The sequence below is a fragment of the Homo sapiens genome, chromosome 5 (genome assembly GCF_000001405.40).
Source record: "Homo sapiens chromosome 5, GRCh38.p14 Primary Assembly".
In the NCBI taxonomy this organism is placed as follows: domain Eukaryota; kingdom Metazoa; phylum Chordata; class Mammalia; order Primates; family Hominidae; genus Homo; species Homo sapiens.
Window position 1 is genome coordinate 90,638,995 of NC_000005.10, and position 27,335 is coordinate 90,666,329.

General features: G+C 35.7%; 1 protein-coding gene across 14 annotated transcripts in view, besides 2 other annotated features; it reads left to right on the forward strand.

Moving 5' to 3' along the window:
• The window catches only part of ADGRV1 (adhesion G protein-coupled receptor V1), a 605,641-nt gene that overhangs the window by 80,198 nt on the left and 498,108 nt on the right, over positions 1-27,335 (forward strand). For all 14 annotated transcript variants that reach the window (NR_003149.2, XM_017009963.3, XM_017009969.3 and 11 more), the window contains 10 exons: positions 3,642-3,768; positions 3,862-4,047; positions 4,809-4,989; positions 5,712-5,875; positions 6,974-7,097; positions 8,504-8,770; positions 12,610-12,736; positions 13,352-13,569; positions 14,215-14,958; positions 18,911-19,284. Coding sequence is in view for 13 of the 14 variants with exons in the window: in XM_017009963.3 (XP_016865452.1) it covers positions 3,642-3,768; positions 3,862-4,047; positions 4,809-4,989; positions 5,712-5,875; positions 6,974-7,097; positions 8,504-8,770; positions 12,610-12,736; positions 13,352-13,569; positions 14,215-14,958; positions 18,911-19,284 (2,512 nt within the window). In the remaining variant the exon portion in view is untranslated. The remainder of the gene's footprint in view (positions 1-3,641; positions 3,769-3,861; positions 4,048-4,808; positions 4,990-5,711; positions 5,876-6,973; positions 7,098-8,503; positions 8,771-12,609; positions 12,737-13,351; positions 13,570-14,214; positions 14,959-18,910; positions 19,285-27,335) is intronic.
• Positions 5,925-6,428: an enhancer, noted in NCBI's record as "NANOG hESC enhancer chr5:89940736-89941239 (GRCh37/hg19 assembly coordinates)". NCBI's record gives its function as "activates a minimal SCP1, AML or CMV promoter by ChIP-STARR-seq in primed H9 embryonic stem cells {active_cell/tissue: H9 hESC(primed)}" and the evidence as "EXISTENCE:reporter gene assay evidence [ECO:0000049][PMID:30033119]".
• Positions 6,160-6,239: an enhancer, noted in NCBI's record as "active region_22782". NCBI's record gives its function as "activates an Ori minimal core promoter by ATAC-STARR-seq in GM12878 lymphoblastoid cells {active_cell/tissue: GM12878}" and the evidence as "EXISTENCE:reporter gene assay evidence [ECO:0000049][PMID:35858748]".

Below are 27,335 nucleotides of genomic sequence, written 5' to 3' on the forward strand. Positions count from 1 at the left end.
TTCTTACATAAAGAGTAAAACAAAACAACCAAAATACCAAGCAAACAAAAAAACCAAAAAGCAAAAACCAATTTACAACACACACACACACACACACACACACGCTCGCGCACACACACACACAGAGTCTAGATGACTTATGGTTTTAATATATGTTTCAGACTCGATCTTAAGAAAAGGTATTTCATACGATGAAAAAATCAGTAAAATGTAATGAAATGTAAATTGGAAATTATTTTTTTCATTTTTGTTTTTTTCCTTAAGTAAGGTGTAAGCATTCAGTGGACAATCTTGAAAACAACTAAAGAAACAGAAACAGTGATGATAAACCAATGCTGTGGGAATCTGTAGAAACTTTGTTAGCTTAGCTGACAGTTTCTACTCTCAACTAAATGTTTAAAGAATGATTTACACTATCCATCTGCAAATTGATAGTGACTATTCTTTATATTCTTTCTAACTATTCATTTTTAAATCTTATGTAAACATTTGAAATTAAGTATAATTTTTAAGGGTTTATTTTGTTCTTCTTTTTCTATCCCCTATGGGTAAAAATAGTACATAGTAAAAAAAGTACATAAGGAAGTACAAATCATGAGGTAGAAAATTTCAGAAATTATTGGTTCTTTTCAAATAGAGGAAATTAGTTCAAATATATATTAAAATGTTTTAATTTGACTAGTAATTGGTGCATACTTGTATTATCTCATTTGTGTGTGAACAAGAATGAGCAAATTACATTTGAGTGTTCAGAAACATTTAGTTAAATAAAATTTAGATACTGTATTTTATCAAAAACTCCCTCTTAATTTTGCAAATTTTTAACAAAACTTGAGTGAAAGAATAAATGAATGATAGCAAGCATGATTACAATAAATCACATCACAATATTGCAATGAAAATAGTTAACAGTTTATTGTGATAACAGTTTATAATTTCCTCTCAATGTCAAATCCAAGTTCAAATTCTCTATATTTCAACTCAATATAGACAAAAGTTGCCCTGATACTAAAAAACTTGTGGTGCTTTCAAATAACATGCTGGTTAAAAATATTCTATTTAGTTTTCCTCAAATCACAAACAATGTCATTATGCCAGTTTATTTCAGAAAAATTTTGGTGTATGTGGTATATAACCCTATATTTATAAATGGTGCATTTGACTTTAAAAATGAAGCTCTAGGGCTCTACATTTGACATGTGCTTTCAAGGCTGTTTGAAAATGAAATACACTGTGGATTTGGAAAAGTGTTTTGGTTTCCTGATGCCAAGTTGTATTTAAGTAATTTTTGGCAGAATTAAAAGGTGCAATGATATGGCTTCTTCAGTATGTTCCTGTGCAAATGATATAGGTATAGATTTCTCTAGTTACACAGTTTTGTTTTTTCTAACTCAAAGAACAACTGGCTTTAGATCTGAGACTAAAGGTTTTTATTTTTTTTTAAATCTAATTAAAGCTACTAAGTAATTATAAGCAGGGCTGAATGAAATTTGTTCAGCTGCTGTGGTTTGTGAGCCTGTACAGTGCTTGGCAGGCACAGGCGCCTTGGAGGAGGCCTGGAAAGGAATGTCTTGAATGGGTCTTGACAAGCTTGCTGGCCATGGGGTCATCTTCCATAAGTGGGAACTGCCGAACCTCTTGCTAGCATTTGTCAATAGCAAAGAATCCAGGGTGCAGAGTTCCCATAAAACGCACATTACTAGCTCTTGGGAAAAAAGGAAGCCTTTCTTTAGCTTTATTTTTCCCTTGCCATTCTAAGTTTCTCACAGTATTAGTGAGATTTTAGCAAATGGTGCCCTGCCTCCTTTTTCCCCTTCCCACACTTCTTTCTGTGTTGACAGGGTAGAAACTGAAAGGTTTGTCGTGTATTTTGGGTAAGTGTACAAAATAATACCTTGTTTTTGGTGATTCAGTATTTTGTTTTGCAAGTGATTGTTTTTGGACGAGACTGCTGTTCTGCATGATTACAGGTCTTGGGAAATTTTGCTTGTCCACCTGGCCATGCATGCTTTGTGTGCAGTTTCATTTTCTAATGATAAGGGGAGCTTACACAAAGTTGTTTATTTATTTTTGGTCCTAAGAGTTTTGCACTGTGAATGCATTTAAAGTATTTTGAAATTTGAGAATTAGTGTAATGACATTTAGACGAACTTAAAATTTTTAACTTTCCTTGTAGGTCCACATAACCTCAAGAACAATTACTGTGCTGTACTTCTGAAATTTTTACCCAATGTCTTTTATGAATCTTGTAGCTTGTTTAACAGAGAATTAGCAATCAATTATCTGAACGGTTCCATTGGTTTTCTGAGAGCATCTAAGCAATTTATTGCTTATATCTCAGAGCCGTATACAGAACTTTTCAGAATTTGCATTTCACTTAAGGGTAGCATATTTTAAGAAAGTTTAAAAATAAATTTGTTTAATGTTCAGAATGGATTTTTATATTTTGCATTCTGATCCAGTTTTTTCTTTCCTAGCTTATGTGGATATAAGAAATTTTAATTAATGAGGATATTGATATAAATGATGGACAAATTTGGTATGAAAATTATGACTGTTTTAACAATATAAAATAACTCTCCTATTATTTAGACTATTCTGTGGCCACTAGCATGCTAAGTATTATCAGATTTCTAAAAACTAGGGAAGGATGACAATTCAGATTCTCTGTTAAATAGGAAGTGAGCTTTTTTTCTACATATTTCTACATATGAATTGTGGTTTCATTGTGATTTGAAGTCTGAGCATGAATATATTTTTGGTTCAATAGGACGTGACATTTCGCAAGGTTTAGAGCAGCTTGCAGGATTGATAATTCTTAAGAGCCTGCTGGCTTTTAAACTCTCAGAACATTGCAGTCCAAGTCCCTTTGATCATTCTAATTATGCTTTGAACGTTAAAACCAGAAATTTAAAAAACATGTTGTTTTAATATGTTCTTTTGGAGATACGTAGGAATTGGTATAACATGTCATGCATCTCAGATCTATTCTATTCTTTTTTTTCTTATATTCCCTACATTTTCTTTTATACTAAAAGACAAAAAAGCACAGGTTTAAAATTAAGGAGAATAGAAGGCATTTGAAACCACAACATATTCCTAAAATGTAATCACAATTGTGTTTATTTTTTATCAGCGTGGCTTGCTTTAGTCCATTTAGTTATCCAGCTATTATGTGCTCTATTCAGTTAGTATAATCTTATGTAATGAGTTTTAAAAATAAATTCAAGTGTATGTAAAATTGAAACACAATTTTGTTTTAAGCTATCTTCTAACTACATGTTACAAATTAAATTTTTCTAAAACTGGAATCAAATCTGCAAATTTTGATGCTTTATATAAATAAAATATATTGATAACATTTGGTTACAGTATTCTTGGTGTACATATGTAGTGTTTGGTTTTTGTCAAATAAAAAAAGATGTAATGAATTCAGAAATAGAAGTTCTTTCATAACTGTTATGAGTAAAACTGTTTTGATCTTAAATGATTTCAACACACGTGAATTCACTTAAGGTCTAATTCCTCATAGCCTTCCTTTTCATTATCTGGAAGAGTTGTAAATATTGCCTTAAAAGCCTGCAAAATTCAGAAGTAAAACTGGAAGTAGCGGGTGCCATTTGTCTCTCTGACTTCTCTAGGGTTAACGTGGAAAACCAAGTGCTGAAATCTGGATATACTAGCCGTGACCTAATTATTTTGGAAAATGATGACCCTGGGGGAGTTTTTGAATTTTCTCCTGCTTCCAGAGGACCCTATGTTATAAAAGTAAGTACGAAAAAAACTTCCATTTATTCTGTGCTCACAACTTTAGAAGAATGATCTCAAAGGGTTTCAACTTTTGTGGATTTGTTTTTAAAGGAAGGAGAATCTGTAGAGCTCCACATCATCCGATCAAGGGGGTCCCTTGTTAAGCAGTTTCTACACTACCGAGTAGAGCCAAGAGATAGCAATGAATTCTATGGAAACACGGGAGTACTAGAATTTAAACCTGGAGAAAGGGAGATAGTGATCACCTTGCTAGCAAGATTGGATGGGATACCAGAGGTATGGGATTTTATATTTTCTTTGTGTTTCTCTGTAAGATTGATAGTATTTGGTATATTATGAATATAAATATTTTGAATATTGGCAAAGAGACAGGAAAGAGGTGGGCAAGAAAAGACTGAGAAGTACATAGATTTGGAAAATTTTTAACAAAAGGTTTAAAAATGAAGACTCATTCATATTAGAATGGTGTATTTTTGCTCCACATGAAGAAATAACAAACAATCTTAGACTTTCAGTGTGTGATCAGTTTTCATCTCCTTTTAGCTTTATTCATGTTAAGGCTTCCTTTAGGTAATATGTATTGACTGAACTTTTAATGATGTGGTTTTAAACTGAAGAAATTTTGCTATAGAATTACTTTGTTCAAAAAAAGAAATTTGAGTTTTATATTAATGGAACCAGGTATAGTTCTATTATGCTTACTCACCAATACATATGTAACTCTAATTTTATTTTATTCACTTTTGTAAGTTTAAGTGACTAGATCATCAGAGATAACATCCACTTTTCTTACCATTTTAGAGTAGTATCATTGTTTCTCTTTTTCTCTTTTTGGACAATGTATACGTATTTCTGGTGTCTCTTAATTGATAGGAGAATGTTAATTTTTAAAGAAATGATACCACCTCTTTTGTCCTTTCAGTGAGTTATATGCTTCTGAAACTTTGAGTATATTAATATTCTTGAATATTTATGTTTTTAAATTTGTTGTGAAAAGTCAACTTTATAATTTCCATACTTTGACACATTCACTTTAGTTGGATGAACACTACTGGGTGGTCCTCAGCAGCCACGGAGAACGGGAAAGCAAGTTGGGAAGTGCCACCATTGTCAATATAACGATTCTGAAAAATGATGATCCTCATGGCATTATAGAATTTGTTTCTGATGGTCTAATTGTGATGATAAATGAAAGCAAAGGAGATGCTATCTATAGTGGTAATTTATTCTGTGTCTTATATTGTATTTCTGTTTACTGAAGAAGAAATATAATTTTTTTAGTTATTTCTTTAGTAACTAGTTATTTCTAGTTGCTCACCCTGCCTTAGAAATTACACATAGTGCGGAAGTTTTTTTTAGAATCATATTTAGGACCATGATTTTTATTTCTTACATAGTATCGTGATGATACTGATGACTTCAGTTATATTTTGATACCATTTAAGCATATGCAGTGCAACTCAAACACTCAAGAATGAGTCCATCCAAATAGCGAGAACCTTAAAACTAAGAACTACTGCTACGGAACTGTTGAGGTGACTGGAAATGATAAATAGTTTATTTTTAGAGCAGTGTCTGTCTGGATAAGGAAATCACACTTGAGCATGCAGCTTCCTGTAACTGCTTTTAGCAGATATCCTTACAGGACTTTATGATAGGTGTGCCTAATTCGTCATCATTCTGTTTCCCATGCCAACTGACTTCTAAAATCCCAAACTAGAAAAAAATGAGTCCATTTACTTTATTTATTATATACCTACAGAGGGAGGAACAGGCTAATATATTTTTATATGTACCTTAAAAACTGTGCTAAGCAAATAGTTGGCAGTTATTAAAAAGAGGTGTTGTTTTTATTTTTGTTTATTTAACCGATTTCTTTACTCATCATTTTAAAAGTTTCGTATGTCTTCATATGTATTATGTATGTTTCCATTTCACAGCTGTTTATGATGTAGTAAGAAATCGAGGCAACTTTGGTGATGTTAGTGTATCATGGGTGGTTAGTCCAGACTTTACACAAGATGTATTTCCTGTACAAGGGACTGTTGTCTTTGGAGATCAGGAATTTTCAAAAAATATCACCATTTACTCCCTTCCAGATGAGGTAAATATTGCATATAACTTTCTGCCTTACTTGTTGTAGTTGATCAATAATTATTTTTTATTAAATAATTAAACATCTGGTAATATATTTTGTGATAAAAGTTTGTAATAAAGAACTCAGGTGTGACAGTGTCTGACCATAAACCAGAAGAGCAGTATTATGTTTTGGTTTCCCTGAAGACATGTTGAACTCTAGAACTGAGAGTGGTCAGTGACACTGCTCATGTATCCAGTATCAGGGATTCTTAGTTGGAGAGGCGAAGCCCTCGGCTTGTATTTAGTCCCTTTGAAGGCAAGGTCATCTATCAAGTGTCCTGTGGTGCAGTCTCAGCACCGGGACACGGGGTCGCATGAGTCATGGACCAAACATGGCATTTCTTCTTACAGATAGTAAAGAGAAAGATCTTAATAACAACAGGAAGTGAACCTTTCCTAGGAGAGTGACACTTAGAACAGCTGTGGAGGCCAGTCCCCTCTCCCTCAGACCCATTCCTCAAGAGACAAAATTCGAATACCTTTCTGTTTTAGGGGGAGGGGAGCACCAGTTCACAGGGATGACGTGAAAAAGAAACAGCGTCCACCTGGGGATCCATTTAGGCTCAGAAATGTGGGGAATCAAATCTTGTTAGGACATGGAGTGAGGCCTTTATGACCCATGCAGTTAAAACTTCAGTAAGGTTTGTAAGAAGCCTTTGTGAGCTGGCTGAGCTTTAGTTACTCTAAACTCTGCTCTAAATGTTCAAAAAGTTATTTTTATGTTTCATCTTAAAAATCAACATGTCTCCCATTTTCCTGCAGAAATAATATGACCTCTGTGGTATATCAGTTTTTAGCTTATATAAGGCAAAATATCTATATTTCCATTAAATTTCATAGTTAGTCTAAATGAAGTGGCTGTTTGTATGAATGCACATGAAACTAATTTTTGGGGGGGTCTGAGTCTTACCTGAATGTGTTAGGGGAAGTTCTGCCTCCGAAAAGGAAATGAATAATGGTAGTGTTAATGGTGCTTTTTTAAAAAAACTGAATAATTTAAGAATATATGATGTAATTTATATGTATAAGTCACCTGACTTAAAACGTGTAACATTTTCCAAAGATTCCAGAAGAAATGGAAGAATTTACCGTTATCCTACTGAATGGCACTGGAGGAGCTAAAGTGGGAAATAGAACAACTGCAACTCTGAGGATTAGAAGAAATGATGACCCCATTTATTTTGCAGGTGGTATTGCTGTCTTATTTGAATGAGTTTACATATTTCTTAAATAGTATATATAAATGTATATATGCACGTGCATATATACATTTATATGCACGTGCGTATATACATTTATATACATATATATTTAGCAATTTTTTTCATTGAACATTTTCAATAAAGCACAATTGATGCTTGTTTAAAGATTTTGTAATTCATTCGAGGATTGTTATTTAATTGTTCGAAGTTTTGACTAATACTTCAAAAATTTTTTGAAGCAAAAAGAAAATAAGTACTGTTTTATTATCTTTTTCCCCCTTTCAGATTTCTCGGTATTTTTTTTTCTTTTGTGCAGAAAACACTTCTCCATGTGATTTCTTCAAATAAACAGTCTAGTTGGTTCAGGGCTAGATTATGTATTAGAAGGACCTGAGTATTATGCCTAATGGATGGCCATACACTATAATAACTAATTTTTAAGGGAAATATTAATTAAAATTTCTTCGTTTTGCCACTTTAACGCTTTCTTCAGAACTGTCTTTGGCCACCTGAGGCATCTTTTGGTTTTGTTTATGAAACGGTTGTTGTGTAACTCTTTCTTGAATCCTTGTTGTCAGCTATATATGGGTTAATTTACCTAATGCAGGAATTGCAGGAATCTTGTAAGCCTTTTGTATTTTATTGATTTGTATTCTTTCTTTCTTCTTCTTTTTTTTTTTTTTTTTGAGATGGAATATTGCCCTGTCACCAGGCTGGAGTGCAGCGGCGTGATCTCGGCTCACTGCACCCTCCGCCTTCTGGATTCAAGTGATTCTCCTGCCTCAGCCTCCTGAGTAGCTGGGACTACAGGCACACACCACCACGCCCAGCTAATTTTTGTATTTTTAGTAGAGACGGGTTTTCACTATGTTGGCCAGGATGGTCTTGATCTCTTGACCTTGTGATCTGCCCGCCTTGGCCTCCCAAAGTGCTGGGATTACAGGTGTGAGCCACTGCGCCCAGCCTGATTTGTATTCTTAACCTTCAGTTAATGTGTACTTAATGAATTAGCCTTATGTTCAACCTTCTGGTAACTGCTGTGACAAATATAAAACATAAGATCTCTGGGCCTGTTCTCAAGGAAGTTACATCCTCAACTTAGAAATGAGGTTTATGAAATAGTAAGCAGAGGATTTGAAATAGCATGCAATTTGCTGAGAAATTCGATGTTGAAGATAATGGATTTTTGTAGGATTAAGGCAAGAGGATGGCCATTGACTGTTGAAATAATCAGAGGGTAGTCATGTCAGAGTTGGGAACAGAGCTAATTATTTTGGCAAAGACACAGTACAAGGCTTCTCTCTTGGAGGGCAGGGAGAAGCACAATGTGATCTGAAAATATGTGATGGAATCAGAAAAGCTCATGTGTTCTTTCTTTGTGGATATTTCAGAACCTCGTGTAGTGAGGGTTCAGGAAGGTGAGACTGCCAACTTTACAGTTCTCAGAAATGGATCTGTTGATGTGACTTGCATGGTCCAGTATGCTACCAAGGATGGGAAGGCTACTGCAAGAGAGAGAGATTTCATTCCTGTTGAAAAAGGAGAAACGCTCATTTTTGAGGTTGGAAGTAGACAGCAGAGCATATCCATATTTGTTAATGAAGATGGTATCCCGGAAACAGATGAGCCCTTTTATATAATCCTCTTGAATTCAACAGGTAAGTAAATTATGCTTTTTTATGGCAGATCTGCCTCAGTGCTTTAATAAGATGAAATTAAGCACTGCAGTCCAATAATGAGGACAAGTAGGGCCTAACTACATTTGTACTATTCAAGAGTAAAATTATTTCATTGCTTTCTTGAGAAATGGGGTGAAGAATGTATGTGTTGAACCTTTATGTACTTGTTGAACCTTTATGACATCCTTTTTAACCTTTTCTTTATGATATGGCACAAATAGAAAATTCTGATATATAAGTAAGTGAATTCTTACAGCTAAAAGTAACAGGACTTGGGAATACGGCTTCCCTAGGTATTGCTTAGTCACCCAGCGACTTAAGGGATAGGTATCCTGTAGCATTTTCCTTGGAGCAGGGTGCTGGCACACTTGATTGGGAAGCTTAATTCTGTAGGCAGCTAACTTCAACTGTTTGATAATTCTCTGGAGCCATGGCCAAAATGAATGACAATCTGCAAGTGAAAAAGATGTGTTCGTCCTTCTCCATACTGTAAATGAAACAGGATGTTTTAACCCCACTCTTTGGGATTTGAGAATGTTTTGGCTCTACCTTCTGTAAATTGGAAAGGCCTATGGCTTCTCTTGATAGTTATTTTATTCTTTTAATAGTACAAGGAGTTTTTTTTTCCTTGAACCTTTTGAGAGTAAGGTAAAGACATGATGTCCTATCACCCTAAATACATTAGTGTATTTTCTCCTATAGAGATGCCCCCATGAGCTCTAACGTTTGCATCGGGTCACCATGATGCCCTGTCTGCCACCCCCAGTGGAATGCCAACGTTGTGTTCCACCTTGTGCCTTTTGGACTGAAAGACTGAGGAAGAGAAAGAGATCTCTTAATTATTGTTTTAGCTGTGTCTTTCATTCTCCCTATCTCTTTGACTTTCTTCATTGCTGTCTCTGTTTCTATTCTGCTTCCTCTTTTTCTCCTTTTGTCTTTCTCTGCCTCTCATTTTTCACACAGCTTAACAAAGAAGTTAAAACTAAAAACTATTATCCTGTGAGGAAAATTTGAATTTGTAGAATAAACCCACAAGGGCAATTTCACAATTGCAAAAAACATCGTCAGATCTTACGTAGACTAAAAACATTTGGTGAATCCATTCGTTGTTCTAAAATTTAAATGAAAGGAGTTGCTACAGATAAAAATAATTTTAGTGAAGTAAAAGTGGAAAACAAAGTTTTACTGTGAAATACAGAAAAGCGATGAAGGAATGATATTATTAATATTATTATTTTTTACGGAGTCTCACTCTGTCACCAGGCTGGAGTGCAGTGGTGCAATCTCGGCTCACTGCAACCTCTGCCTCCCAGGTTCAAGTGATTCTCCTGCCTCAGCCTCCCGAGTAGCTGGGACTACAGGTGCACACCACCATGCCCAGCTAATTTTTTTATTTTTAGTAGAGACAGGTTTTCACCATGTTAGCCAGGATGGTCTTGATCTCTTGACCTTGTGATCTACCCGCCTCAGCCTCCCAAAGTGCTGGGATTACAGGCGTGAAAAATGATATTATCTTAATAGAATTTATTTACTCTAGAAATAAGTTCTTGATGACATTTATTAACTTAGTGTGATTCTGGTAAACATTTTTGTCTCAAAAATATCACTGTGGTTAAGCTGTCATTAGGAAAAAAACGCCAATATGGTTAAATAGTGAATGAATCAAAACATCCTGAACCTTTTGTAAAGAGTAGGGGAACTGACATTTTTTTTTCTTTTTTGAGATGAAGTCTCACTCTGTTGCCCAGGCTGGAGTGCAGTGGTGTGATCTCAGCTCACCGCAACCTCTGCCTCCTAGGTTCAAGCAATTCTCCTGCCTCAGCCTCCTGAGTAGTTGGGACTACAGGCTGGCAACACCACACCCAGCTAATGTTTGTATTTTTAGTAGAGACGGGGTTTCATCGTGTTGGCCAGGCTGGTCTAGAACTCCTGACCTCAAGCAATTCGCCCGCCTGGGCCCCCCAGGGTGCTGGGATTACAGGCGTGAGCCACCGTGCCTAGCCAGAAATTGACGCTTGAAAAAGAGGTTTAGTTAGTTTGTGAAATATGTCATTGGGAAAATATATTTATTAATATTTGATTTTGAGAGAGAGAGAGAGAGAGGGAGAACACAAGATGTGATTGGGTTACTGGCCTGAGGTATGTGTGCTACCTCGTACTGCTGCTGCATTTGTCTTTAATATTTTTCCAGAAATGATGACATTTGAGAATCCAATTACTTTCGTTAAGAAGGCTCAGATGACAAAAATCTCTAGAGCTTGTGATTTTTTAATACATCCTTTCTTAGCTCTTTCCTCCTTTTCGATGTCAAAACATCAAGGACTTGTGGGACCCATGATGGGACACTGTAGAGGCAGCATCTCTGACATGACCTAGTGCTGGCAGTGGCTGTTTATCCTGATGCTAATCATTTAGAGCATATGCTCTGATATTGGATCAAAGGATATGGCCATCCTTCAAGCCCTTGTTAAATATTGCTAGTTCATCTTGCAGAGAAACAGAATGAATTTTCAGCACCACTGGGACATGTTTCATTACAAATGCATATGATAATAGAACCCTGCCAAAATTAGGTTTTATTATTATTTATTTTTGTTAGATTTTATTATATGCTCTTTATTTATTGTCAGCGTTTTCTACACAATGATTTGCTATTTTTGTGTCTTTTTTCCATTGAATTATCAAGTGAAGTTGAGTACAGTTGTATATTTGTATAATTTTTATTGATAAGCTGGTTTGCTATATATAAAATTTGTTTCTATAATTTTAGCTGTAGGTGTTGTATACATCTGTTTTTGAAAGTGTTAGTTGCATCAGTTCAGCAATAAATAAATTCTGCGCACCGGTTACTGAGCATCTATTTTTCTAGGGCATGGAATTGAATAAGAATCATTAGTCCAATGAGCTTATAGTAAAATTATGTGTATGTCTGTATGTGTATGTGTGTGTGTGTGTGTCCCAATATAATATGATCATTGTTATGATAGATTGACAAAGAGCAAAGTGCCGTGGGAGCACACTGGAGAGGCACTTAGCTTAACCTGGGGATTCAAGGAAGAATTCCTGGAAGAGTTGTTGCTTGAGCTGGGTTCTCAGGAATGATAAGTTAGGTGAGTGAAGATGGGAAGGACTTTTGCTCCCCTGTGCAACAGCTGGAGTAAAGATGAAGAGATAGGCACTTCAGGGAAGTGATGAGAAGAGACCCAATGTGTAGGCAATAACAGTGCCAATATACTGTGCAAAGAACTGGAGTAGAAAGGAATCAAGCCCAAACCATGGAGACTACTTTGTTCTATGTACAACCAGATCAAACTTTGCTGCCTGAAGGCAGAGATGTAAAGGGAAACACTCAAGCCAGTGATTCCAATGAACACAGACAGTAGTATTTTTATGTTATTGGGTAGTCCTTTATTATTTGTATGAAATAAAAGAATCCACCTAAGAAATTTGAAAATAGAAGAAATTATGTTTTTAATTTCTAATTAAGCTATTGAAGGTATATTCCTTTTGTGAAGAAAAGTGTGTTTTTCAATAAAATAGTTCATTTGTAACTAAAAAAAATGGGAACTATTTCATCTTGAAATTATGTAGGCATCTCTCTTTCTCTCTCTCTTTGTATGTATGTTTGTACTTATGTGTGTATACATAAACATCTTTGGAAATATGGAGCAGTATTTTGCATTTATTATATGACCTTCAGTGAGGAAATTCTTGCTGAAATTTTCAACTTAATTGTAAACTTTCTTAATTTAAAAGTATAAATTTTACAGCAAGTTAGCTACTTCTTTGTTATTTTGTCTTTTCCACTTTTAATTTAGGTGATACAGTAGTATATCAATATGGAGTAGCTACAGTAATAATTGAAGCTAATGATGACCCAAATGGCATTTTTTCTCTGGAGCCCATAGACAAAGCAGTGGAAGAAGGAAAGACTAATGCATTTTGGTAAGCATATGTAGATAAGGCAAGTTTAAAATTGGGTGAAATAAAACCATTAAGTATGTGAAATTCTGAAATATTCCTTCAAAATTTAAAAATTGGTTAAGAATTGAGTAATTTCAAAGTTGGCAGTCTGAATGAGTGGTAAACTTTGTTTATGCTGTTGCCACTTATCTTCAAAAAAAAAAATCTTTTAGCTAGTAAGCAGAAATTATTCTCCCCACCCCCCTCGTTCAAACTTCAATCCTTTGTGAGACTGAGAAACTTGAATTATTCAAGATCTTCAGGAACTCTTCTCTCAGATGATATGTGACTACCCCCACCCTGTACTTTGCTTTTGGAAAACTTTTTCCAACTGTCATTTAGTATTTTTTGATGGAGCTTAGAATTTATCTTTCAGTTTGGATTTTGAAGACAAGACTTTTATGACTGTTTCTCTTTTATTAAAGTTCTACCTTATTCTTCTCTTCCCATGAAATTCTTCATAGTTTGCCTCGTAGAACCAGCTGGTTTGTTTCTTTTAAGACAATAGATAGTAAAAATATGTTTCCTTAATAACACAGGAAGCTCTCATTAGAGTAAGATTCACTACTTATAAATTTTCTTTAATTTATTTTGTAGGATTTTGAGGCACCGAGGATACTTTGGTAGTGTTTCTGTATCTTGGCAGCTCTTTCAGAATGATTCTGCTTTGCAGCCTGGGCAGGAGTTCTATGAAACTTCAGGAACTGTTAACTTCATGGATGGAGAAGAAGCAAAACCAATCATTCTCCATGCTTTTCCAGATAAAATTCCTGAATTCAATGAATTTTATTTCCTAAAACTTGTAAACATTTCAGGTACTGTGTTTTTCCATGTCTTATTTTATTTCCATGTCTTATTTATACTAAATTTTACATTTTATACTTAGATAATTAGAGCCATATACAAAATGCAATTGGTGAAGTATTTGTGTCATGACTATCTGATTTTAAATGTTAAAATACCCTTCTTGTTTCAAGTGTTATTCTTAACATTCACTTTTTTGATATCTTAGTTTGGTTCAGTTTTAGGGATGGAGGCCTACATCCATCCTCAAACATGCAAATAGACTTTCTCCACACCAACTATAGTGTCTCCAACAAGACGTTAGTGGAAGGTAGGAGGTAAGGATTCATGGTAGCTTAAAGCTTGATCTTTGTGTCATAATTTAAGCAATCAATTTTCGCATCACTTTTGGTTTTAAAAAGCACAGAATTAAACCTTTCTAATTCATATACTCTTTTCAGGCTTGACTGATTATCAATAAAATTATGCTGAACAAATATTATTTCATATCCTGCCCCTAAAATGTGGTGAAAGCCACATGGTGACACTACTTTTCATTGATAATGAGTAAATTATTTAACCAGAAGTTTGTCTGCTAAACAAATTCTTTTTTCTTCACATTATACTAGAAAGTACTTGAAATTCTAGTTTCTCACTCATAAATTTTCTTGTTACAGGTGGATCCCCAGGTCCTGGGGGCCAGCTAGCAGAAACCAACCTCCAGGTGACAGTAATGGTTCCATTCAATGATGATCCCTTTGGAGTTTTTATCTTGGATCCAGAGTGTTTAGAGAGAGAAGTGGCAGAAGATGTCCTGTCTGAAGATGATATGTCTTATATTACCAACTTCACCATTTTGAGGCAGCAGGGTGTGTTTGGTGATGTACAACTGGGCTGGGAAATACTGTCCAGTGAGTTCCCTGCTGGTTTGCCACCAATGATAGATTTTTTACTGGTTGGAATTTTCCCCACCACCGTGCATTTACAACAGCACATGCGGCGTCACCACAGTGGAACGGATGCTTTGTACTTTACCGGACTAGAGGGTGCATTTGGGACTGTTAATCCAAAATACCATCCCTCCAGGAATAATACAATTGCCAACTTTACATTCTCAGCTTGGGTAATGCCCAATGCCAATACGAATGGATTCATTATAGCGAAGGATGACGGTAATGGAAGCATCTACTACGGGGTAAAAATACAAACAAACGAATCCCATGTGACACTTTCCCTTCATTATAAAACCTTGGGTTCCAATGCTACATACATTGCCAAGACAACAGTCATGAAATATTTAGAAGAAAGTGTTTGGCTTCATCTACTAATTATCCTGGAGGATGGTATAATCGAATTCTACCTGGATGGAAATGCAATGCCCAGGGGAATCAAGAGTCTGAAAGGAGAAGCCATTACTGACGGTGAGGGTCATCATCACAACTAGGACACTGAAATTTGCAGTTTCTAAAATTTTTCATTAAAATTTAGATTTTTAAAAAAGTGCTAACATGTATTTGAAAACTCTACTTATGCATTGGTTTAATTTCTTTAATCAAAACTATGTGCCTACCAAGATAATGAGAAATTCTGTCCTGAGTGTTACAGAAATGAATCAGAGAATTTTGCCCTTAAAGAACCTGGAATAAACCCTAGCAGAGAGATGTGTGATATATCACAATGACACCCTGTAGGAAGACAGAAAAAAATATGAAAGAGGAATGTTTGTCCTTCTGTGGGTAGTAGGAGAGATGGGGAGTGATATTCCTGCAGAGGAATGAACAAAGGAATAGAAATGTGAAACAGCGTGTTGCACCTGGGGAACTGCTGCTAGTTCAGTATTGCTGAAGGTAGAGGGTGGTGGGCGTGAGGTTGAAAAGAAAGCAGGAGAGAAGAATCACAGTGAAAAGTGATTATAGGGTTCATACTATCAGCAGGTAACTTGGTGAATTCTACAGAGTGCTTTGAAGAGATATTCTTTGTTGTCTTTAAACTAGATCATATGCTGATTCCTCAAGAAGCACATTTGTGTGTGTGTGCACACAAATACTGGTTATATGCATTATAGTCACCATTCCCTCTCAGCCCCTCCATCTTATGATTTTATTCTTTTTTATATTTCGTGAAAGATAGAGTAGAGCTTATATGGCTATAGCTTAATAGAGTATTTTCCTCTGAACCTCTTACATTAGTTATTTGGTTCTATTTTTTTTCCCAGAGGGGGAAAAAAAGATAGGCAAAGGAAAATGCACGTATCTACCAATTTCAATCCCATGGATTTTGGTTACAAGCACTTTGTGGTATTATCCACTTTTTGGCTGTGTGAATACCTACAAGTATCTGTTAGCCTTGATTCTTTTGGTGATGGTAGTGGTGGTGGAATGAGAATGGAAACGATTGGGGGAAGTGGGAGCTGGTGTTTTTTCCTCTGACTTACTGCAGAGGAACTTGTTATTTTTGTACTTTGTAATTTGGAAAGATAATTTTTAAACTATATGTAAAGTTATTGAACTGTAGTGCCCTTTATATTATAAAAATATAAAAGTATGCATATTGTAAGTGTACAGATAAGTGAAATTTTTAAAACTTAAATTCATCAGTTTCAGCACTCATGTGATCAGCCCCCAGACCAAGAAACAGCATTCCAGAAGCCCCCTTTGACTCCTCCAGTTGCTAACTCACCACCCTGCCTACTGACTATTGGCATTTTTAAGAGCTTAAGATTCACTTTTCCTATTTTTAAATTTATATAAATAGAACTGAACAGTATGTACACTTGAGTGTCCAGCTTCTTTTGCTCAGTATTGTTTGTGAAGTTCATCCATATTTTTGCCTGCTGTAGATATTTCATGCTCATTACCATATAGAATTATCTTATGTAACTGTAACACAATTTATTTATTAGTGCTACTTTCAATTTCTGTTTTGGTTGTTTTCTGTTCTGCCTACTACATATAGTACTTCTATGGATACTCTTATACATGTTTTTTGATGAACATATGCCTGCCATATGCATTTCTGTTGAGCACATTCCTGGGGATGGAATTGCTGAATGACAGTGTGTGCAAATATTCGGTTTTAGTAGATAATGCCTATCCTTTTTCCAAAACAGTTGAACCTAATTATACTCTCACCTCTAGTGTATGAGAGTTCCACTTAATTAATGCTTAGCTTCTTCCATCTTTACTTTTGGTTTGTAGTGGCATCTCACAGTATCATAAAAGGTGTATTTAAAAAAAAATAATGCTGTGTTCAATATAGAAAAATTGTAAAGTACACATATACAACAAAAATAGAAATCATTTACAATAAAAATCATTTACAATCATTATAAGAATCATTTACAGTCATTCAGAGATAGCCACTATAAACATTAAGCATACTGTTAACATGTTCGTATACACACACTGTATACATATTTCACAATTTTTCTTCTTTATTGTCAAAATGATACATGTATATTGCATGAAATTTGAAAAGTATAGAATAGTATTAAGATGCAGAGTGAAAGATGCCATATTCCCTCCATGAACCACTGTAACATATTGGCATTTTTATAACTTTTATTTTGAATGATTTAGCATTGTAACTTAAGTAGTTAACACTACAAGTAGAGAAATAATGATCAGGTTTGTCCCAGAGAATTAGTCATAGAAGCAAAGTGCTTAGAATCCTCAAATATGTATAATGTTTTACATTTATAAGGCATTTTCCATACATTACCTAATTTGTACTTCATAATAATTCAATATATTAAATAGAGGTCAGAGTCAGTAAATAAATTCGCTAGCATCACACAGGCAAGTAACAGAGGAACCAAGACATGAAAATAAACCATTAACTCCTAGGTCAGTATTCCTTTTAACATACCATAGAGACAGAACTAAAGGAGATGTGATCATTTCTATATCCTTGACTCCAGATAGCATCCTAACAGTGAGAACCATGATGTGGTTTTGTGAGAATCAGGGGAACTTATATCATTACAGTTGCCAGATAATTCAATAGGAGAGACAACATAGGATTTCCCATTGAATCTGGAGCTCCAGTGAAAAGGTGTTTCTGGTTTGCTGGGCAGGAAGGTGGTCTCTGTAGTCGGTATGGGAGCTGTCATGACAGTAACATGCCAGATACTTGTGACTACCCTGAAAGACATCTGGGTGGAGATTTGTGAAACAGCCTCCACTGAGGTTATTGACAAGAAATATTGCTTGTACTTTTTTTTCCAGAATCTCTGCCAATATCTCATCTTGCCTAAAGATCTTACATAAATATCTTAGTTGAGTTATTAGAGTACGAACAGGTAAAGAAAGGAGAACTAGTGAAAGCATGAAAAGGTTTGTTATTGAGATATAGTGACACAGTTGGGCTACATGTTATTATTATTTTTAAAAGTCCCCAAGACTTACATATAATGTTTCTGAGAAGAAATATTTCTATTTTTACATCTATTCTCTTAGTTGTTTGGATAGAGAGATATATTTGGCCTGTAGAAATACTTCTTATGAATTCTCACAACTTTAACTCAATGAGTGTCTAACATATCAAGCCTTGAAGTTCTTAAATAATAATATAGTACTGAAGTTTAAAAATTGTGATGAGGCTAGGTGCAGTGGCCCATGCCTGTAATTGCGCCTCAAGCGATCCTCCCATCTAAGCACTTTGGGAGGATCGCTTGAGGCCAGGAGTTTGAGACCAGCCTGGGCAACATAGCAAGACCCTGTCTCTACAAAAAAAACAAAACAACAACAACAAAAAAAGCCAGGCCTGGCAGTGGACTCCTGTAGTGATGTCCTTGCTATTTGTTAGTCTGAGGTGGTTGGATTGCTCGAACCCAGGAGTTTGAGGTCACAGTGAGCTATTAACATGCCATTGCACTCTAGCCTGGGTAAAAGAGCAAGATCTTGTCTCTAAAGTACATAAATAAATAAATACATAATTAAAAATTGTGATGAATAAGTCCATTTTTAAATGTGCAAGAGTAAATTTTAAAATACCATAGAATAAATTTCTATCCAAATACGTGCACATACATACATGCATACGTGTGTATGTATGTGTGTGTATGTGTATGTTCAGATACTTTTTTTTCTAGAAATGTTGACAGACTGATAGAAGTTACTTTTAAGTATATCATCTAATTTGAAGATAGTTACCAATTCTTTTAGTACAAAATATAAATCCTAATGATTATGGATTCCTTTTTTAAAATCATAATAGAAGATAATATCCAATTCATTGTATACTAGTTATGCAAAAGTTTCATTTATCCAAAAATATCTTTCAGTAAAATTGTCTTACTTTCTGAATCACACGTAAAATTTAGGACAGGACACTTGAAGGTATTGTAGCATTTAAACTTGTCTCTAATTTCAGGTCCTGGGATACTGAGAATTGGAGCAGGGATAAATGGCAATGACAGATTTACAGGTCTGATGCAGGATGTGAGGTCCTATGAGCGGAAACTGACGCTTGAAGAAATTTATGAACTTCATGCCATGCCCGCAAAAAGTGATTTACACCCAATTTCTGGATATCTGGAGTTCAGACAGGGAGAAACTAACAAATCATTCATTATTTCTGCAAGAGATGACAATGACGAGGAAGGAGAAGAATTATTCATTCTTAAACTAGTTTCTGTATATGGAGGAGCTCGTATTTCGGAAGAAAATACTACTGCAAGATTAACAATACAAAAAAGTGACAATGCAAATGGCTTGTTTGGTTTCACAGGAGCTTGTATACCAGAGGTAAGTAGTGAGCTTGGAGAATTTTGGATTTAAAAATTCATTGTAGGTGGATTTGTTTGGGACTCGGCTTTCTTTCATTTGGTAAGATTGGTTGCGCATCTACTCCAAGTCCAGAAGTATGCTAGGGCCAGTGATTGCAAATATAAATTACAAAATTCTTACTCTTATGAGTTCACCCTTTGGATCAACTTAATGAGCTGATAGAAGTAATAACAAGTTAGCAAATGAAACTTTAGCAATTCGCCTGAAAGTTAATGCTCTTCAAAGAACGTATGTGTATACTCTACCTATTTATTTTTGGCTACTGTTTTGGATGTCATTAAATTGAATGAAATAATATATATTGAAGGCTTGTATGAATAATTGTATTTGCAACTTTATTAAAATATGATTTTTTGATTTTTTTTTTTTTACATGTGAAACGTACTTGAGTAGTTAGTTATCACTTTCTTCCATGTTGGGTGTAAATACCTTTCTTATCAACCTTCTTGGCCAGCTTAATTCATTAGGCTGTCTTACTGTCCTTATCAGTTCTTTCCATGTTTTCAAAGATTCGTAATCATCTTGGTTTCCTGTTCAGTAATGTGAGAACTCATGAAACTACTTCCCAGGTGTTCTGTGTGACAGCAACAGCTTGGTGACCATGAAAGGATGCCAAGGAACAAGAGTCTTTCTTTTTGCAAGTTGATTCTAATTGGTTTAGAAGGATGTATAAGTAAATTGAAATGATTTTTTAAAAATGGATGAGTAGAGTTTGAAAAAAAATCTAGGTCATAGGCTCATTCTAGCTTAAACTGGGATGTCTGCCTCTCTGGAGTGTCTTTCTTGCCACTTTAGCCCTTTGGTTTGGTGGCAGTCTTAAGAGATCTTCAAATAGTATGGTCCTTTTTTTACATCAGAAATAGCATATCCTAGACTAGCAATAACAAATGTCATACAAATCTACAACTTGAAAAGAAAGATGTTTACATATAGTGGATAATACCTTTAAATAGGTATTCAGCTATCAAAGAACTTCTACATATTACATTTTATGCACCTTTCTGATAATCCATAATATAGGTGCGTTATTAACCAGTGTGATAGTGATATTAACCAGTGTGATAGTGACATTAACCAGTGTGATTATTTTGTATAATATGTGTCAACATTTTGAAGATCTGTATAACTCAGTAACTAGTATTTTTCAAGTAATCAATGCATATTGTTGCAAATCATGCCTGGGTAAAAGACTGTTCCAAAGTACAAGGTAGACCAGTAGATTTTAAAGTACTAGAGTATGTTTCCAGGTTGCAGCTAAATGCTAAGAAACTGCCACTTGTCAAATTTTGGATTTTGGTATAATGTCAAGGAAAAATACCCATAATTATCTGAAAAGACTAGTAAAATCCTCTTCCTTTTTCTGTTACACACATGTATATATAAGGCTGGATTTTCTTTATACACTTTAACCAAAGTAAAAGATAGAAACAGGCCGGGCGCGGTGGCTCACGCCTGTAATCCCAGCACTTCGGGATGCTGAGGCGGGCGGATCATGAGGTCAGAAGATCGAGACCATCCTGGCTAACATGGTGAAACCCCGTCTCTACTAAAAATACAAAAAATTAGCCGGGTGTGGTGGTGGGCACCTGTAGTGCCAGCTACTCGTGAAGCTGAGGCAGGAGAATGGTGTGAACCCAGGAGGCAGAGCTTGCAGTGAGCCGAGATGGTGCCACTGCACTCCAGCGTGGGTGACACAAGACTCTGTCTCAGAGAAAAAAAAAAAGAAAAAGAAAAAGAAACAGACAAATTGATTGCAAGAGGAGCTAGGAGAATCCAGCTGTCTTCTATTAAGCCAGACATTAAGGAGACTTTTAAAAATATAAAATAATACCCCCTTATCACTAATTTTTTTTCGAGAACTGTAGTTATTTCTCATAAAATATGTTGTTTATGTTAGCATGTAATGGGTTTATTATTGCTGTCTTAAAATGAGTTATCAATATTTAAATTTTTAATTTTTCATTTGAATATGGAAAATATCAGCAGATTTTAATGATATCAACAAAAACTCTCTGGGGTTCTCAATAGTTTTGATGTGTACAGGGGTCCTGAAACTAAAACATTTGAGAACTGCTGGTTTAGTCTGTGCTTGTAATTATCTTCTGAGTTCAAATTTTATGATCACTTGCTTCATTTTTAGAAATAAAGACTACAGCCACTTCCATAGATTCTTCTCCATTATGTTGTTGCAATGACATTGACAATTTAACGTTAAAAAAAATTCCCTCAAAATTTCTGAATGCAATAGAGACCCTATAAAGACTCTGGGCTGGGCACAGTGGCTCACGCCTGTAATTCCAGCACTTTGGGAAGCTGAGGTGGGAGGATCTCTTGAGCCTAGGAGTTTGAGAACAGCCTAGGCAACATAGTGAGACCCCCTTGTCTATTTTAAATTGAAATAAAAATTAAAAAAATTTAAAATAGGCCTTCTGAGTTATGTTATGCTTTTACCTTTTTCATAGATTAATATGACATAAAGTAATATTAAGGTTAAAATGATAGCATAATGACATCTTAAACAGATAATGAAAATATGTAGACTCTGACATAGCCTGCTATTTGGCACATTGAAAGAGAAGGTAATTATTCTGTGATTTGTTTTCTACCAACCAGGTACACTATGTCCCGGCAAAGAGCAGGTGCTTAATAAACTATAATTGAAAGAATGAATAAAACCTGTGAAGCAGTTTAGGGTCCTGGTGAGGCATGCCAAATAGTGCTTTGGATTCCAAGTGGGATCTGTATTGAACAGAAGATGGATTTTGTTAGATCTATAGCCTAGTAACCACATTCTCATGTTTCTTCCCCATATTTTGTTGTTCTGTGTATTTCCTATGTTATTTTCTCTGTACCATATTTTAGCACTGTTTTTACGTGTCCTGCCAAATTGTATACCACGTAATTATAAATTAATGAAGTTGCTTTCATAGTGATTCATAGAACTTGCTAATCGTATTGTTTTATTTTTTATAACTAATACTTGCATTATATGTTATATTTATAAACTATGGCTTAAGAATCAATTAAAGACACTTTGGGAAGATCTTCATGAAAACAAGAATATCATTTCAACTTGGACTATATTTGTTTTTAAGTGCCTACCATGTGCTATGTGAATAGATTCCTTGGGATATAAGTGATATTGGTATAATCCGATATCACCAATCATCACCCATGCATGAAACAAAATTAAAAATTAATTGGATTTGTAGCTTTAATTTTCTATTGCAATAGAGAAGGCCAATTCATGGTTCAGAATACTGCATTATTTTTTCTAAGAAAATAGGTTTCAAAAACTCGTCTTACTATTTCTGTTTATTATTACTGTTCTGATGATCTGAATATTTGGCAAATTCCTGACTTAAAAGAGGAGACGGTAGTGAGTATTATTGTGTCTAGTGAGAAACTGTTTGGGGATGGTTTGATGATTATTATGGATGTTAGGCCCCTTCATATACTGGCCTAAATGTTTGTTTGTATCATAATTCTAAACTCAATTAGATGAATATTTTAATATTAGAAAAAAGGTTTAGATATTTATTTTCTATGTCTTATGCATTTCTGTATTAATAATTACATACCGGAGTCTAGTATTTCTGAAAGTGTTGCCCTTGGATGACCTTGTCAGAAATATCTAATGCTTATTACTGGACATTATTCCTGACTCAGGACCCCATTCCTGGATCACAATCTCTGGCTAGGGGAGAGGGGAAGTTTAAGCTGAATTAGAAAACCTTTTTAAATGAAAGTTTTCATATATAGAGTATACACAAAAATAGAGAAGATAAAGGAATGAGTCACAGTGTACTAGCTTCAATAATTATCAGCCTTTTGGCAATATTGTTTAATCATTTTTGGTTAAACAACTTTTTTTTTTTTTTTTTTTTGAGACGGAGTCACGCTCTGTCGCCCACCCAGGCTGGAGTGCAGTGATGCGATCATGGCTCACTGCAAGCTCCACCTCCCGGGTTCACGCCATTCTCCTGCCTCAGCCTCCCGAGTAGCTGGGACTACAGGCGCCCACCACCATGCCCGGCTAATTTTTTGTATTTTTAGCAGAGACGGGGTTTCACTGTGTTAGCCAGGATGGTCTCGATCTCCTGACCTCGTGATCCACCTACCTCAGCCTCCCAAAGTGCTGGGATTACAGGTGTAAGCCACCGTGCCCAGCCAGTTAAAGTACTTTTTAAAGCAAACCTCAGGCGTTATGTTATTTCTCTGTAAATTCAGAAGTATTAAAGGTGGATTTGCACTGAGAATCCTGGTAGTTTTTTTTTTCTTTTTTTCTTTTTTTTCTTTTATTATTATACTTTAAGTTTTAGGGTACATGAGCACATTGTGCAGGTTAGTTACATATGTATACGTGTGCCATGCTGGTGCTCTGCACCCACTAACTCGTCATCTAGCATTAGGTATATCTCCCAATGCTATCCCTTCCCCCTCCCCCCACCACACAACAGTCCCCAGAGTGTGATGTTCCCCTTCCTGTGTCCATATGATCTCATTGTTCAGTTCCCACCTATGAGTGAGAATATGTGGTGTTTGGTTTTTTGTTCTTGCGATACTTTACTGAGAATGATGATTTCCAGTTTCATCCATGTCCCTACAAAGGACATGAACTCATCATTTTTTATGGCTGCATAGTATTCCATGGTGTATATGTGCCACATTTTCTTAATCCAGTCTATCATTGTTGGACATTTGGGTTGGTTCCAAGTCTTTGCTATTGTGAATAATGCCGCAATAAACATACGTGTGCATGTGTCTTTATAGCTGCATGATTTACAGTCCTTTGGGTATATACCCAGTAATGGGATGGCTGGGTCAAATGGTATTTCTAGTTCTAGATCCCTGAGGAATCATCACACTGACTTCCACAATGGTTGAACTAGTTTACAGTCCCACCAACAGTGTAAAAGTGTTCCTGTTTCTCCACATCCTCTCCAGCACCTGTTGTTTCCTGACTTTTTAATGATTGCCATTCTAACTGGTGTGAGATGGTATCTTATTGTGGTTTTGATTTGCATTTCTCTGATGGCCAGTGATGATGAGCATTTTTTCATGTGTTTTTTGGCTGCATAAATGTCTTCTTTTGAGAAGTGTCTGTTCATGTCCTTCGCCCACTTTTTGATGGGGTTGTTTGTTTTTTTCTTGTAAATTTGTTTGAGTTCATTGTAGATTCTGGATATTAGCCCTTTGTCAGATGAGTAGGTTGCGAAAATTGTCTCCCATTTTGTAGGTTGCCTGTTCACTCTGATGGTAGTTTCTTTTGCTGTGCAGAAGCTCTTGAGTTTAATTAGGTCCCATTTGTCAATTTTGTCTTTTGTTGCCATTGCTTTTGGTGTTTTAGACATGAAGTCCTTGCCCATGCCTGTGTCCTGAATGGTAATGCCTAGGTTTTCTTCAAGGGTTTTTATGGTTTTAGGTCTAATGTTTAAGTCTTTAATCCATCTTGAATTGATTTTTGTATAAGGTGTAAGGAAGGGATCCAGTTTCAGCTTTCTACATATGGCTAGCCAATTTTCCCAGCACCATTTATTAAATAGGGAATCCTTTCCCCATTGCTTGTTTTTCTCAAGTTTGTCAAAGATCAGATAGTTGTAGATATGCGGCGTTATTTCTGAGGGCTCTGTTCTGTTCCATTGATCTATATCTCTGTTTTGGTACCAGTACCATGCTGTTTTGGTTACTGTAGCCTTGTAGTATAGTTTGAAGTCAGGTAGTGTGATGCCTCCAGCTTTGTTGTTTTGGCTTAGGATTGCCTTGGCGATGCGGGCTCTTTTTTGGTTCCATATGAACTTTAAAGCAGTTTTTTCCAATTCTGTGAAGAAAGTCATTGGTAGCTTGATGGGGATGGCATTGAATCTGTAAATTACCTTGGGCAGTATGGCCATTTTCACGATATTGATTCTTCCTACCCATGAGCATGGAATGTTCTTCCATTTGTTTGTATCCTCTTTTATTTCCTTGAGCAGTGGTTTGTAGTTCTCCTTGAAGAGGTCCTTCACATCCTTTGTAAGTTGGATTCCTAGGTATTTTATTCTCTTTGAAGCAATTGTGAATGGGAGTTCACTCATGATTTGGCTCTCTGTTTGCCTGTTGTTGGTGTATAAGAATGCTTGAGATTTTTGTACATTGATTTTGTATCCTGAGACTTTGCTGAAGTTGCTTATCAGCTTAAGGAGATTTTGGGCTGAGACAGTGGGGTTTTCTAGATATACAATCATGTCATCTGCAAACAGGGACAATTTGACTTCCTCTTTTCCTAATTGAATACCGTTTATTTCCTTCTCCTGCCTAATTGCCCTGGCCAGAACTTCCAACACTATGTTGAATAGGAGTGGTGAGAGAGGGCATCCCTGTCTTGTGCCAGTTTTCAAAGGGAATGCTTCCAGTTTTTGCCCATTCAGTATGATATTGGCTGTGGGTTTGTCATAGATAGCTCTTATTATTTTGAAATACGTCCCATCAATACCTAATTTATTGAGAGTTTTTAGCATGAAGGGTTGTTGAATGTTGTCAAAGGCCTTTTCTGTATCTATTGAGATAATCATGTGGTTTTTGTCTTTGGCTCTGTTTATATGCTGGATTACATTTATTAATTTGCGTATATTGAACCAGCTTGCATCCCAGGGATGAAGCCCACTTGATCATGGTAGATAAGCTTTTTGATGTGCTGCTGGATTCGGTTTGCCAGTATTTTATTGAGGATTTTTGCATCAGTGTTCATCAAGGATATTGGTCTAAAATTCTCTTTTTTGGTTGTGTCTCTGCCTGGCTTTGGTATCAGAATGATGCTGGCCTCATAAAATGAGTTAGGGAGGATTCCCTCTTTTTCTATTGATTGGAATAGTTTCAGAAGGAATGGTACCAGTTCCTCCTTGTACCTCTGGTAGAATTCGGCTGTGAATCCGTTTGGTCCTGGACTCTTTTTGGTTGGTAAACTATTGATTATTGCCACAATTTCAGAACCTGTTATTGGTCTATTCAGAGATTCAACTTCTTCCTGGTTTAGTCTTGGGAGAGTGTATGTGTTGAGGAATTTATCCATTTCTTCTAGATTTTCTAGTTTATTTGCGTAGAGGTGTTTGTAGTATTCTCTGATGGTAGTTTGTATTTCTGTGGGATCAGTGGTGATATTCCCTTTATCATTTTTTATTCCGTCTATTTGATTCTTCTCTCTTTTTTTCTTTATTAGTCTTGCTAGCGGTCTATTTATTTTGTCGATCCTTTCAAAAAACCAGCTCCTGGATTCATTAATTTTTTGAAGGGTTTTTTGTGTCTCTATTTCCTTCAGTTCTGCTCTGATTTTAGTTATTTCTTGCCTTCTGCTTGCTTTTGAATGTGTTTGCTCTTGCTTTTCTAGTCCTTTTAATTGTGATGTTAGGGTGTCAATTTTGGATCTTTCCTGCTTTCTCTTGTGGGCATTTAGTGCTATAAATTTCCCTCTACACACTGCTTTGAATGCGTCCCAGAGATTCTGGTATGTTGTGTCTTCGTTCTTGTTGGTTTCAAAGAACATCTTTATTTCTGCCTTCATTTCGTTATGTATCCAGTAGTCATTCAGGAGCAGGTTGTTCAGTTTCCATGTAGTTGAGCGGTTTTGAGTGAGATTCTTAATCCTGAGTTCTAGTTTGATTGCACTGTGGTCTGAGAGATAGTTTGTTATAATCTCTGTTCTTTTACATTTGCTGAGGAGAGCTTTACTTCCAAGTACGTGGTCAATTTTGGAATAGGTGTGGTGTGGTGCTGAAAAAAATGTATATTCTGTTGATTTGGGGTGGAGAGTTCTGTAGATGTCTATTAGGTCCGCTTGGTGCAGAGCTGAGTTCAATTCCTGGGTATCCTTGTTGACTTTCTGTCTCGTTGATCTGTCTAATGTTGACAGTGGGGTGTTAAAGTCTCCCATTATTAATGTGTGGGAGTCTAAGTCTCTTTGTAGGTCATTCAGGACTTGCTTTTTGAATGTGGGTGCTCCTTTGTTGGGTGCATATATATTTAGGCTAGTT